The 16,119-nt window shown below is 37.3% G+C and overlaps 2 long non-coding RNA genes across 2 annotated transcripts in view; both read right to left on the reverse strand.

The window, feature by feature from the left end:
• The window catches only part of LOC124904250 (uncharacterized), a 55,834-nt gene extending 52,505 nt beyond the window's left edge, over positions 1-3,329 (reverse strand). Inside the window, exon 1 of the long non-coding RNA XR_007066292.1 lies at positions 3,012-3,329. This is a non-coding gene — a long non-coding RNA (uncharacterized LOC124904250). The remainder of the gene's footprint in view (positions 1-3,011) is intronic.
• The window catches only part of LOC107985173 (uncharacterized), a 122,834-nt gene that overhangs the window by 61,562 nt on the left and 45,153 nt on the right, over positions 1-16,119 (reverse strand). The window lies entirely within an intron of this gene.

Below are 16,119 nucleotides of genomic sequence, written 5' to 3' on the forward strand. Positions count from 1 at the left end.
TAAATTAAATATCATTATAAAAATCTCTGTAGCAAAACTCCTTACCATCTATTTTTAATAATATAATTTTTCTTTGTTATACTTACCGTTTTCATATCTTTTTTCAGTATTTTTACTTTCAACCTATTTGCCTCTTTGTATTATTCACACTACATTTATTATAAATAGCATAAAGTTGGATATGGTTGCTCTTTGTCCTGTCTGATAATCTGGCTTTATTTGAAGGTGACGTATGTAATATAACTAAGAGGTAATACTATTTTCTAATCCTGAACTAGTCTCATGGACACTAAAGCAATATTCCATTATGCACATATTAATTTCCTTTCCCTCAGTAATCATTTGCTTTATTTCCACTTATTAAATTTACCTATGCCCCTCCTCAATATACAACTATTAGGCACAACAAAAGGATTAGCCCATAAAGCTAGTAGCAATATAAATCAAACCTATACTTTCCTTTTCATTCATTCCCAATGACTCCGGGAAAGATTGGATAAATATAAGCATATAGGATTATCTCATCTGCTAAGCAGATAGGAGCCTAAAGATGTTTAAATGAGAAAGGAAAAGTTGACAATGATTATGCCCTTTGGAACTTAGCCAATTATATTCAAAGGCATTGCCATTTTGTCTTGTTTAGCAATAGAAATTCTAGAAGCAATCTGGGACCCATTTTATGAGGTCAAGTGAAGAAACAGAAAATTTTTTAGGGGGGGCTTCAAGATGGCTACATAGAGACATCTCGCACCTCGTCCACAAAGAAGAACTTAAATATTGAGTAGGTAATCAAACTTCGAATAGACAATCCAAGAGAGAACACTAGAATTCAAAGAGAGAAGTGACAGGAAACACCTAAATGAAGGAGAGGGATCCGGAGTCTACTCGACCAGGATTGGCTGGGAGCCTGGAGAGACTCCCCAAAGCGGAAAAGGGAAAAGAGATACTCAGTGGTCCACATTCCCATCGGGTACTCCTGCAATCCTAGCCATGCTAAAGTTCCTCAGCCCTCGTGGGCCATGAAACTAACAGAGTGAGGTTCCTGAAGACTATACAATGACATTGCTCCAGAGAGAGAGGTAACACTGGGTTTCACACCCCCAAACCCTAAGCAGCTACAGTACAGTGTCATTGAGAGCCTGGTCCATGATAAACTGTACCCTGCCATAGGGCTCAACAGCCCCTGCATCTCCACATCCCTGGAGGCCCACTGATTTCCCCTGCCTACAACTAACACTGCAGTTTGCTGCTACTACTTGGGCTGAAGCATCATGTGCCACCAGACACAATCTTGTAGATTTGAGAAGTGGAAACACCATGTATTTTCACATGTCTGGACAAAGTCCCCCTGCCTGCAGCTGCCATCACTGTGCTGCCAGGGCTGAAGCACGAGTGATGTGCAGGCTGCTGCCGCCAGGGCAGAAATACAAGCCAAGTGTGGGCTGATGCCACTGGGACTAAATCACAAGCAAAGCACCTGTTCCTACTCAGCCTGCATATGGCTACCACTGAAACCAACCCCACCCTCACAGGTAGTAGGGACATTATGCAACTGTTGCTGCCCCTAACCCAAGCATTTCTTCAGAGACCTGGGGATAATCCCACCCTGCCTCACACAGCCAGCACCAGTATGCCCCATCGCGGGGGGTGAGGGGGAGGCGGGGAGGCAAGAGGATAATTCCACCTAGCCCAGTTTCAACCCCTACTCATGTAAAGCATGCAGTACAGGGTCCTTGGTATCGCCCATCCCAGTCCAACACCATTGGCACCTAGGCACTACTCCCCGGGGCCCGGGGGCCAACTCACCCTGTCACCACTACTACAGATAGTATCACATGCACATGCCACCTATTGGCCTGGAGACTGCCCTACCTTAGCCCATTGGAGCTACCGGCAATACTAGCATGTACTTCTCTAGACCCAGATGGTTGCTACTGCCACTGCCCCACCACACCTTTTGCCCAGTGGTCCAAGAACCCACCCACCTCAACCACCACTACTCCTCCTGGCACCTAAGTAAGCCACTTGTAGGCTCAAAAATTGACCCATCTGGACGCACTAATGCCAGTGCACACCACACTGTGTACACTGGCCCAGCACAAGCATGCTCAGCTCACTGCTACAACAATGGCCCAAATGGCTGGCTCACATGGCGTTTCAGTCCTCAGCAAAACTTCACCACAATCTCCACTAATAACTTCACACAGTTTTCCACAATGGCTGAAATAATCTACACTCGCTCCTAGTGTATAAATGTTCCTTTTTCTCCACAACCTTGGCAGCATCTGTTACTTTTTGACTTTTTAATAACAGCCATTCTGGTTGGTGTTAGATGGTCTCTCACTGTGGCTTTGATTTGTATTTATCTAATGATCAGTGATGTTGAGCTTTTTTTCTTATGATTGTTCGCTACATGTATGTCTTCTTTTGACTAGTGAATGTCCCTGCCCTTTGCCCATTTTTTTGAGAATACTTAAAAATAATACGAAAGAATCGGAAAAAGAAATTCAAGATATGAATGAAAAATTTTTTAAAAGAATAAAAAAACAAATTCTGGAACTGAAGAGTGCATTCAAATGAAATACAAAACACATTTTAAAGCTTCATCAATAGTATAGATGAAGCAGAAGAAAGAAACGAAGAACTTGAAGACAGATCTTTTGAAATAACCTGGTCAAACTTTACAAGGCAAAAGAGATAGGGGGACCTATTTTTACCATTCTCAAGGAAAAGAAATTTCCAACAAGAATTTCATATCCCACCAAATGAAGCTTCACAAGCAAAGGAGAAATAAAACTTTTTCCAGACAGACAGTAACTGAGGGAATTTGCTACTTAGACCAGCCTTACAAGAGATCCTTAGAAGAGTTCTCACATGGACATGAAAGAACAGTATCTGCCACCATAAAAACACCCTAAGAACATAGCCCACAGACCCTATAAAGCAACCATACAGTGGAAACTCAAAGGAATCAATTAACAATCTCACAGTATCATCAAAACATCACCTACCACTGTGTCCGGAATTGGTGGGTTCTTGGTCTCCCGGACTTCAAGAACACGCTGCAGACCCTCACAGTGAGTGTTACAGTTCTTAAAGATGGTGGGTCCGGAGTTTGCTCCCTCTGATGTTCAGATATATCCCGAATTTTTTCCTTCTGGTGGGTTCCTGGTCTCGTGGGCTTCAGGAGTGAAGCTGCAGACCTTCACAGTGAGTGTTACAGCTCATAAAGGCAGCCAGGACCCAATCAATGAACAGCAGCAAATATTATTGGGAAGAACAAAAAGAACTAACCGTCCACACCACACAAACCCACCGCAGCCGGTTGCGACACACAGCTGGGGCAGCCTGCTTTTATTCCCTCATCTGACACCACCCACATCCTGCTGATTGGTCCATTTTACAGAGAGCTGATTGGCCCATTTTACAGAGAGCTGATTGGTCCGTTTTGACAGGGTGCCGATTGGTGCATTTACAAACCTTGAGCTAGACCCAGAGTGCTGATTGGTGCATTTACAATCCTTTAGCGAGACATAAATGTTCTCCAAGTCCCCACCTCACTCAGAAGCCTACCTGGCTTCACCTAGTGAATCCTGCGTGACAGTCCTGCACCTGCACTCTTCAGTCCTTGGGCAATGGATGGCACCTGGCGCCCTCGGAGCAGGGGGCGGCGCCTGTTGGGAAGGCTTGGGCTGCAGGGGAGCCCACCGCAGGGAGGGTGGCTCGGGCATGGTGGGCTGCAGGTCCCCAGCCGTGTCCCACGGGGAGGTGGTTGAGGCCCGGCGAGAATTCGAGTGTGGCAAGCGTGGTGCAGACCGGCCAGCAGCGTTGGTGGATCCGACGCACCCTTTGCAGCTGCTGGCCCGGGTGCTAAGCCCCTCATTGTCCGGGCTGGGCAGCGCCAGCCGGCCTCTCCGAGTGCGGGGTCCACCAAGCCCGCGCCCATCCAGAACTCGTGCTGGCTCGGAAACGCTGTGCGCAGTCATGGTTCTCTCCGGCGCCTCTCCCTCCGCACCTGCCTGCAAGCAGAGGGAGCCGGCTCCGGCCTCGTCCAGTCCCAGAGGGGTCCCACAGGCAGCGGCAGGCTGAAGGACTCCTCAAACTCCGCCAAAGCAGACGCCGCGAGGCCAAGGAAGCGCTGAGAGCCAGCGAGGGCTGCTAGCATGTTGTCACCTCTCACCAATATTAACCTTAAATGAAAATAGTCTAAATGCTCCTACTTAAAAGGTGCAGGGTGGCAAGTTGGACCAAGAAAACACACAACTGTCTGCTGTCTTCTAGAGACCCATTCCACATATAACGATACCTATAGGCTCAAAAGTTAAGAGCTGGAGAAAAATCTATTATGCAGATGGGTAACAAAAAAGAGCAGGGATTACAATTCCTATATCAAATAAAACACAAATGAAACCAACAACAATAAATAGGTACAAAAAAAGGCACAAAGAGTTCAATTCAATGAGAACACTTAACTACCCTAAATATATATGCACCCAATATTGGAGCACTCACATTCATTAAACAAGTATTTCTAGACCTATGAAAAGACAAAGAAAGCCACACAGTAATAGTGGGAGACTTCAGCACCCCAGTGACGATTTTAAACAGATCGTTTAGGCAGAAAACTAACAAATCTGGAATTAAATTAGACACATGAGCAACTGGGCCTAATACGCATCTATAGAATATCAAACACAACATATAATCATATTTATATATTTTATATATATATTTTATATATATATATAGAGAGATGCCTCTCAGCTGCACATAGAACATACTCTAAGATCAACCACATGCTTGGCCATGAAGCAAGTCTCAATAAATTTTAAAAAGTCAAAATCATACCCACCATAATCTCATACCTGGGGTGGCATAAAAATAGAAATCAATACCAATAAGAACTCTCAAAACCACACAATCATATGGAAATTAAACAACTTGTTCATGAATAACTTTTGGATAAACAATGAAATGAAGGCAGAAGTAAAAAATTATTTGAAACAAATGAAAACAGAGACACAACATACCAAAATATCTGGGATGCAGCAAAAGTAGTTAAAGAGGAAAGTTTACATCACTAAACGCCTACCTCAAAAAGTTAGAAAGATCTCAAATTAACGATCTAACATCATACCTAGAGGAATTTAAAAAACAAGAGCAAATTAACCCCAAGTCAAGTAGAAGAAAATAAATAACTAAAATCAGAGCAGAGCTGAATGAAATTGAGACCCAAAATTCCATACAAAAGATAAACAAAATCAAAAGTGTGTTTTTTGAAAGGACAAACAAGATAGATAAATGGCTAGCTAGACTTGCAAAGACAAGAGAGAAGATCCAAATGAGCACAATCAGAAATGAAAAAGATGACATTACAACCAAACCCAAAGAAATACAAAAGATCCTAAGTGGCTATTATGAACACCTCTAAGCACACAAATCAGAAAATCTAAAGGAAATGAATAAATTCATGGAAATACACAACCCCCCAAGATTGAATCTGGAAGAAATGAAACCCTGAACAGACGAATAGAGAGTTCCAAAATTGAATCTGTAATCAAAAATATACCAACCAATAAATAAAAATCTGGACCAAAAGGATTCTGCCACTCGTACAAAAAAGAGCTGGTACCAATTCTACTGAAACTACTCCAAAAAAATTGAGTAGGAACACCTCTCTAATTCATTCTATGAAGCCAACGTCACCCTCATACCAAAGCCTGCCAAACACACAATAAAAAAAAGAAAACCGTAGGCCAATATCCCTGATGAACATAGATAAAAAAATCCTCAAGAAAATTCTAGCAAACCAAATCCAACAGCACAACAATTCACCATGATCAAGTAGGTTTCATTCCTGAGATGCAGGATTGGTTCAACTCACTTGAGGCAATAAATGTGATTCACCACGTAAACAGAATTAAAAACAAAAATCATACGATCATCTCAAGAGACACAGAAAAAGCTTTTGATAAAATCCAACATCTCTTCATGATAAAAACCCTCAAGGAACTACACATGAAAGGACCATATCTCAAAAATAATAAGAGCTATCTATAACAAACTCACAGTCAAGAACATAGTGAATGAGAAAAACAGAAAGCATTCCTCTTGAGAACTGATACAAGATGAGAATGCCCATTTTCACCACTCTTATTCAACAAAGTACTGTAAGTCATATCCAGAGCAACCAGGAAAGAAAAAGAAAAAAAAAAGGCATCCAAATAAGAAAATAAGGTGTGAAATTACCTCTATTCACTGACAATAGAATTCGATACTTGGAAAACCCTAAAGACTCCATCAAAGTGCTTCTAGAACTAACAGATTACTTAAATAAAGCTTCAGGATACAAAATTCAACATACAAAACTCAATAGCATGTCTATACATCAACAGTGTTCAAGCTGAGAGTCAAATCAAGAATGCAGTCCCATTTACAATAGCAACAAAAAATGAAATATCTAGGAATGCATCAAACAAAGGTTAACAATCTCTACAAGGAGAGCTATAAAATACTGCTAAAATAAATCATCAATGACACAAACACAAACATGGAAAAACATTCTATGCTCATGGATTGGAAGAATCAATATTGCTAAAATGCCCATACTGCCCAAAGCAATCTATGGATTGCTATCTACCAGTATTTCCATCAAACTACCAAATCATTTTTTCACTGAACTAAAAACACTATTCTAAAATTCATATGAAAGCAAAAAACAGGCTAAATAGCCAAAGCAATGCTAAGCAAAAAGAACAAAGCCACATGCATCACATTACCGAACTTTACTACAAGGCCATAGTTATCAAAACAGCATGGTATTGGTACAAAAACAGGCATATAGACCAATAGAACAGAATAGAGAATCCAGCAATAAAGCCACACATTCACAACTATCTCATCTTCAACAAAGTTTACAAAAATAAGCAATTGGAAAAGGACTTTCTATTCAATAAATGATGTTGGAATAACTGGTTATCTATAAGCAGAAGAATGAAATGGACCTCTACCTATCACCATATGCAAAAATTAAGTCAATGATAAACAACAAGAAATAGAAAGAGGAAAGAAAAGAAAGAAAAGAAAAGAACCAGAAATCAATTAACAAAATGACAGGAATAAGTCCCCACATATCAATAATAGCCTTGAATGTAAATGGATTAAACTTTCCACTTAAAAGATATAGACTGTCTGGATTAAAAAGTGAACCAACTACATGCTGCCTACAAGAAACTCATCTCACCTGTAAAGTCACATACAGACCAAAAGTGAAAAAGTGGGAAAAGATATTTCATGCAATTGGAAACCAAAAGTGAGCAGGAATAGCTACAATTACATCAGATAAAACATACTTAAAGTAAAAAATAGTAGAAGGAGGCAAAGAAGTTATTATCATTATTATTCTAAACATATATACGTACAACTGTGGAGCACTCATACTTTTAAAGTAAATACTTTTAAACTTAAAGGAAGAGGTAGACTTCAATACAATAATAGTCCCCACTTCAACACCTCACTCTCAACATTAGACATCATCTAGAGAGAAAAATCAACAAATAAATATTGAATTTAAACTGTACATTAGAACTAAATGGACCTTATGGACATTTGCAAAAATTTTATTGAACAGCTACAGAATACACACTTCTCTCCTCAGTACCTGGAACATTCTTCAAGATAGACCTTATGTTAAGACACAAAACAAAACAAAGTCTCAACAAATTTAAAAGAATCAAAGTCATATCAAGTATCTTCTCAGACAACAAGGGAATAAAACTAGCAGTTAGTAACAAGAGGAACTATGGAAACTGTACAAATACATGGAAATTAAAGAACATACTCCTGAATGAACATTGGGTCAAGAAAGGAATTAAAGAGAGAATAAAAAGTCTAAAAATAAATGAAAATCAAAATACAACATATGAAACCTTTGGAATACAACAAAATCAGCGCAAAGAGAGAATGTTAGAGCAATAAGAGCCTACATTAAAAAAGTGGAAAGTTTTCAAATAAACAGCTTAATGATGCACCACAAGGAACTAGAAAAGCAAGAACAAACCAAACTCAAAATTAGCAGGAAAAAAAGCAATAATAAAATTGAGAGCAGAAGTAAGTGAAATAGATACTTTAAAAGTACAAAGGATCAACAAAGTGAGAAGTTCGTTTTTGAAAAGATTTTTAAAAATGGATAAACCACTTGGTAGACTAACCAATAAAAACTGAGAGTAGGCTAAAACAGAAAAATCAGAAATGAAAAAGGAGACATTACAACTGATGTCACAGAAATATAAAAGATCATCAGAAACTATTATGAACAACTATACAGTAACAAACTGAAAAACCTGGAGAAAATGAATAAATTTTGCAGTACATACAATCTACCAAGATTGAATCACGAAAAAATAGAGAACCTGAAGAAACCAATAACAAATAATGTAATAGAAACAGTAATAAAAACTTTCCTGAGAAAGAAAAGTGCAGGACCAGATTGCATCATTGCCAAATTCTACCAAACTTTCAAAGAACAAATACCAAGTGTCCTCAAACTATTCCAAAAAGTTAAAGGGAAGGGGACTTTCCATAACTCATTCTGCAAGGATGGAATTACTCACATACCAAAAACAGACAAGGATGCAAAAAAAATATGACAGGCCAGTAACTCTGATGAACGTAGACACAAAAATCATCAACAAAAAACTAGCAAGCCAAACCCAAGAGCACATTAAAAAGATAATACATGATAATCAAGTGGGGTTTATTCCAGGCATGTAAGATGGCTCAAGGTAACACAAATTAATATATGTGATACATCACATCAACAGAATGAAGGACAAGAAGCATATAATCATCTCAATAGACACAGGAGCATTTGACAACATTCAACATCTGTTTATGATAAAAACTCTCAACAAAGTAGGCATATAAGAAATGAATCTCAACATAATAAAGGCCATATATGACAGACTCACAGCTAACATCGTAGTGAATGGGTAAAAGTTGAAAGCAATCTCTCTAAGAACTGAAACAAGAAAAGGATCCGCACTCTTACCACTCTTATCCAACATGGTGCTTGCAGTCCTAGCCAGAACAGTCACGCAAGAGAAAGAAATAAAAGCCATTCAAACTGGAAAAGAAGAAGTCAAATTGTCCCTCTTTGCTGATGATAGAATCTTATATCGACAAAAACCTAAAGGTTCCATCAAGAAACTCTTAAATCTGATAAATAAATTAAATAAAGTTGCAGGATACAAAATCAACATATAAAATCAGTAGCCTTTCTATACACCAATAATGAACTAGATAAGAAAGAAATCAAGAAGGCAACCCAATTTATAATAGCTATAAAAAATTACCTAGGAATAAATTTAATCAAGGAAGTGAAAAATCTCTATAAGGAAAACTGCAAAATACTGATGAAAGAAATTGAAGAGGACACAAACAAATGGAAAGACATCCCATGCTCAAGGATCATGATAATTAATATTATTAAAATGTCCATACTTCCCAAAGCAATCTAAAAATTCAACACAATCTCTATCAAAATAATAATGACATTTTCACAGATTTTTTTTAAAGTCCTAAAATTTGTATGGAACCAAAATGCAGCCTGAATAGCTGAAGAAATCCTGAGAATAAAGAATAAAGCTGGAGGCATCACATTACCTGACCTCAAAATATAGTAGAAGGCTATAGTAACTAAAACAGCTTGGCATTAGTATAAAAATAGACATATAGACCAATGGAACAGAGAATCCAGAAATAAATCCATGTATTTATAGCCAACTGCTTTTCAATATAGGTGCCAAGAACACAGATTGGGGAAAGGACACTGTCTTTAATAAATGGTGCTAGGAAAATTTGATATCCATATGCAGAAGAATGAAGCTGAACCTCTATCTCTGACCATGCATAAAAATCAACTCAAGATGAATTAAAGACTTAAATATAAGACCTGAAACTATAAAACTACTAGGGGAAAACACTTCAATATACTGGTCTAGGCAAATATTTTATAGCTAAGATTTTAAAAGGACAGACAACAAAAACAAAAATAGGCAAATGAAACCATATTAAATAAAAACCTTCCACACAGCAAAGGCAACAATCAACAGAGTGAAGAGACAATCTGTAGAATGGGAGAAAATATTTGCAACCTGTTCATATGAGAAGAAACTCATATCTAGAATATACCAAGAACTCAAACAACGTAAAATAATTAATAATAATAGTAATAATCCCATTAAACAGTAGGCAAAAGACATGAATAGACATTTCTCAAAAGAAGATACACAAATGGCTAACAGGTTTTTTTTTAAATGCTCAACATCATTAATCATCAGGAAAGGCAAATCAAAATTACAAAGAGATATCATCATATCGCTCCTGTTAGAATGGCTATGATAAGACAAAAAATAAAAGAGGCTGGCATAGATGCAGAGAAAAGGGAACACATATACTGTTGGTGATAATGTAAATTAGTGTAGCCACTATGGGAAATATGATAGGGACTTCTGAAAAAACTAAAAATAGAACTATCATATGATCCAGCAATCCCACTACTGGGTATTTATCCAAAGGAAAAGAAATCAGTGTATTAGAGATACCTGCACTTGCGTGCTTACTGTAGCGCTATTCACAGTAGCAAGATATGGACTCAACATAAGTGCCCATCAAAGGATGAATGGATAAAGAAAATGTGGTGTATATTGTGAACCCCAAATATCTGAAGCAGTTCTCAATTTAGGAAATGTATTGTGCCAAAGTGAAGGATGCTCACCCATGACACAGCCTCAGGAGGTCCTAATGACATGTGCCCAAGGTGGTCCAAGCACAGCTTGGTTTCATTCATTTTAGGGAGACGTGAGACATTAATCAATATGTGTAAGATGAACATTGGCTTAGTCTGGAAAAGTGGAACAACTCAAAGTGGGAAGGTGTCTTCCAGGTCATAGGTAGGCAAAGACAAATAATTGTATTCTTTTGTGTTTCTGATCAGCCTTTCCAAAGGAGGCAATCATATAGGCATTTATCCCAGTGAGCAAAGGGATGACTTTGAATAGAATGGGAGGCAGGTTTGCCCTAAAGCAGTTCCCAGCTTGACTTTTCCCTTTAGCTTAGTGATTTTGGAGCCCCAAGATTTATTTTCCTTTCACAATATATACACAATGGAATACCACTCAGCCACAAAAAGGAATGAAATCATGTCACTTGCAGCAACATGGATGTAACTGGAGGTCATTATGTTAAGTAAAATAACAAGGCACAAAAAAACACACATCACATGTTTTCACTCATATGTGGGAGCTAAAAAAGTTGATCTCACAGAGGTAGAGAGTGGAATGATAGATACCAGAAACCAGGGAGGGTGTATGGGTGGAAGGTGGGGATGAAGAGAGATTTGTTGATGGATACAAATGTACAGTTAGATAGGAAGAATAAGTTCTAATGTTCAATAGCAGAGTAGGGTAAATATAGTTAGCAACAATGCATTGTATATTTCAAAGTAGCTGGAAGACTTGAACTGTCCACAACACAAAGAAATGGTTAAGTGCTTAAGGTGATGATGGATACCCCAAGTGCCCTGACTTGAGCAATACACATTCTATGTGTGTAGCAAATACTGACATGTATCCCATAAATAAATGAAATATTATGTATCCATAAAAAATGAGGAGTAAAAATGATTAAATAAGTGACAATATCTTCTCCCTTCCCTCTTCTTTCATTTCCAATATATCTTTCAACTGGTCCGATGATCTTTCATGTCACACATGGGAAGATGTGACACATATTCATTTATTCATACAAGCCATTCCTTTAATCCTTCATTTCAACACATTTCCCCAATTTAGTAAGCAGGTGTTTTGATCGTCCATGCTAGTTTTCTAATAATCCACTGCTCTGTGGATGGTATGATACATACATCTATTGTATGTGGCATTTTAGCCTATCATTGCACTGTATCCTCGGTGAAACAGGGTCCTCGATATGAAGATACATCAGTAGAGGATCTAAATTGAAATAAAATTTATTTTTCTAATCATCTGATGATATTCAAAGTATTTGCTCCCATTACTAAATCCAACTCTAAAATAGTGTTCAGCACATTCAAAACCCATCCCTATCCTTCTGGGGCCACAGGCAAAGGCCAGTGTAGTCCACTGCCTACCCGTATCCTCTCAGTACATAAAATCCTTTAGTCTATAGTTAACCTATAGGAAAAAAATAATAAAAGTTAGTCTCATTTTGAGCCTGAGAGGTAGTCAGGGGGATCTGCCTTTCTTAAATTGCTTGACTGCCCCCATGACCACTAACCTCGTGTACATACTAGGCCACCTCCAGGGAGGACTAGAACATTGTTTTATTGCCTCCAATGCCCTTCCAAAAGTGAAAGAAAGTTTTACTGTTGAGTATCAACATAACACACTTTGATTTTTTCTTTTTATATCTGTATTAAACTACTGCTGTGGAACAAATTATGCCCCCAAACAATGTAAGATAATAATACTTATTATCTCACATAATTTCTGAGGATAAGAAATTCAGTAGCAACTTAGTTGGGTGGTTGTGCCTTAGAAGCTTTCATGGAGTGGTGATCAAGCTGTCTGTTAGGGCTGCAGTCATCTGAAGGCTTGAGTGTGGTGGCTGGTAGATCTGCTTTTCATGTCACTTGAATGGCTGTTTTTTCTCACCATGCTGGCCTTTAAATAAGGCCGCTTATCACACTTCAGCTGGCTTTTTCTGGAATGACTGACACAAGGGAGACCAAAGGAGTAAGTTATCTCTATTGGTCACATAGACCATCCTTAATATGACAAGGGAGGGAACCACACAAGGTTGTAAATACCAAGAGGTAGGAATTATTTGGGGCCATGTTGGAAGCTGGCTTAGGAAGCCTAAAATGCTTTTCCATAACATTGTACCCCTTACTATGATTTCTTTTAATTTCTAGTCATCTAAGACCCATATTCCAGATCATATCATCAATTTACTGGCTGTGGCCCAAGAGTCATTATCAATCCATACCTCACTTTTGTTAATATCACTTAGTTTTGTTAATATATTTATGAACACCACTCTGAATTCTGTCCACTGAGTGAATGAATCTTTCCCTTCAATAATTGTCTAGCCATAAGCAGGTTACAATGCAGCCAACTTTGAGGTGACTGTGGGCCCTCCACATTTGAACTACATTCTGTAAGCTGTGCTACTTTTGGGGATCCTCCAAAAATACTCATTCAGATATGGATTTAAATAAGTCATCAGGGAGATTGATGTAGGGCTCCTAGACATAGCTGCCACTTGCTTGTGCTTGCAATGGGTTCCTTCAGTGGATTCCCCTGTGACGTATTCTTGAATACACCATTTCTTTTTGATGCAGTCCCTTTGTGCAGTTAGCTCCCAATTGGAGTATTTGTCTTATATAACCCATTACATGCAGAGTATTCCAGGTTTCAAAATAATTTGTGTCATTTAGTAATAGATACAGTTTCCAACAGGGATCAATAAAAGGCTAATAGTGGTCTCTCAAAAAGAGTTTACCTGACAGCCATCTCAAGCAGTTTTCTAATTTAAAATATTGAGTGGTCATCACTGGTTGGCAATCAAGGGCTTCTGTCAAACATCCTGTCAGCATGGGTATTTGTTGTGGGCACTTTTAATATCATTTCATTGAATTGTTTTTAGAGGTTGCTTTGGAAATTAAAACATGCATCTTTAATTTATCACAACCTACTTAAAGCTAAATTTTTAATTACTTTTGATGAAATGTTGAAACTTTTCAATAGAAATTCATACAAATTGAGGGGAAATATGTATATATACACACATATATACTCACATATTTGCCGTTTCTAATGCTTTTACTTCCTTGTTCAGGATTGAGTTACTATCAGGTGTTACTTTTCTTCATTCTGAAAGACTTTCTTTGTATACTTTAAGGTACAAATCCGCTAGCAGTAAAAAAAAATTTTTTTTTCTTTTCAGATGGAGTCTTGCTCTGTTGCCAGGCTGGAGTGCAGTGGCAGCTAGCAGTGAAATTCTTTGTTGTTCATCTGAAAACGGCTTAATTTAATACTTCAATTTTGAAAGATAGTTTTGAAGGATATAAAATTATTGGTTACAGTTTTATTTTTCTTTCAGTCTCTTGTGACATTCCAACATCACCTGTCTTCCATTGTTTCTGTTGAAATGTTGTCCACCAATCTTATCATTGTTTATCTGTATACACTAAGTCATTTTTTGGCTGCTTTCATGACTTTTTCTTCATTTTTACTTTTTTGGAAATTTGATTATGATGTGTAGTCTAGTTTCTTTGTATTCACCTTCTTCAAGATTGATCTCTTGGATCTGTTAAGTTAAAGGTGTTCAACAAGTTTAGGAATTTCAGCATTGTCAAGTGTTTTATCCTCCATTTTCTTTCTTCTCTCCCTCTAAAGTTCCAGTTTCATATATATTGGAGCTCTTTGTATTGTTCCACAAATCTCTGAGGTTTGTTCATTTTTCTTCAATTTTTGACATTGTTTTTACAAATTATATAATTTTTATTACCTACCTTCAAGGTCACTAATTTTTTATTCTTCCATCTAAAAGAGTTTTTTGTCTATCTAGGATGAAAATTCAAATTTCTAAGAAAATAAATCCAAATGAGTTCTCTAATGTCAAAATTTGTTTACTTTTTTGTAGACTCATAACAAAGAAAATTAAAAGTCTTTCTCCCATTTTTTATTGGAAAATTATTTCTCAAAAGTAAATTGTTTCTTGTATGTTCTTACAAAAATTTTTTTCAAATAACCTATCAAAAAATATAGTCTATACATATTTAAATGTACCCACATGAGTAACAGCTTCTTCAATCATCATTTATTATTTCATCTGAGTCTTTTCTTCTTTATTAAATTTCTTTTTCTGGACTAAGTCCTTTAAATAGTTCTTTCAGTGAAGGTCTACAACTGGTTAATTATTTCCACTTTTTGTCTGAAAATGTCCTTATTTAATCCTTAGTCTTAAAATATTATTTTGATATATAGAATTATAGTTTGGAGTTATTTTCTCTGAAAACTTGGATTTCTATTTCTATCGTTTTCAAAAAGTCTTCTATCAGTCTGTTATTTCCTTTTAGGAATCTGTCTTCCTTTTGAGTCATTTTTAAGATTTTTCTTTATCTTTGCTATTCTCGCTTCAGTTTTATATTCCTAGATGAAATTTTAAAAATCATGCTTAAGTTTCAGGCTCCTGTATGGAAGAATTCATACCTTTGATTCTGGAAAAGTACTGTACTTTTTATTAAGTATTGCCTTTCCACCCTTCTCTCTCTCTATGCAAGACAATTTTTTTACTTTATTTATTTATTTTTTTTTACTATTTTTCTTTTCTTTATTATACTTTAAGTTCTATGGTACATGTGCACAACATGCAGGTTTGTTACATATGTATACATGTGCCATGTTGGTGGGCTGCACCCATTAACTGGTCATTTACATTAGGTGTATCTCCTAATGCTTTCCCTCCCCCCTTCCCTCTCCCCACAACAGGCCCCAGTGTGTAATGTTCCCCTTCCTGTGTCCAAGTGTTCTTGCTGTTCAATTCCCACCTATGAGTGAGAACATGTGGTGTTTGGTTTTTTTGTTCTTGCGATGGTTTGCTGAGAATGATGGTTTCCAGCTTCATCCATGTCCCTACAAAGGACATGAACTCATCCTTTTTTATGGCTGCATAGTATTCCATGGTGTATATGTGTCGCATTTTCTTAATCCAGTCTATCATTGTTGGACGTTTGGGTTGGTTCCAGGTCTTTGCTATTGTGAATAGTGCCGCAATAAACATACTTCTATATGATTTATTCTGGACCTTCTTATTCTATTTTCCTTGTCTTTTTATCTCAGTTATATAATTATAATGTTTGGAAATCTTTTGCATTATTCTGGTAAATCTTCTTTGTTCCATAGTGTAATTCTCCACTGTCCTTTCAACTGTATGTATCAACTGAGTTTTAATCTCAAAAACTACATTTTTCATTTATGGATGTTCTGTTTCTATTAAATGTATTTCATACTTTTCATGAGCTTTCATTTATCTCATGTTTTTCTTTATTCTTAACCACTTTTAACATCTTTATTT

This window comes from Homo sapiens, chromosome 18 (genome assembly GCF_000001405.40).
Source record: "Homo sapiens chromosome 18, GRCh38.p14 Primary Assembly".
In the NCBI taxonomy this organism is placed as follows: Eukaryota; Metazoa; Chordata; class Mammalia; order Primates; family Hominidae; genus Homo; species Homo sapiens.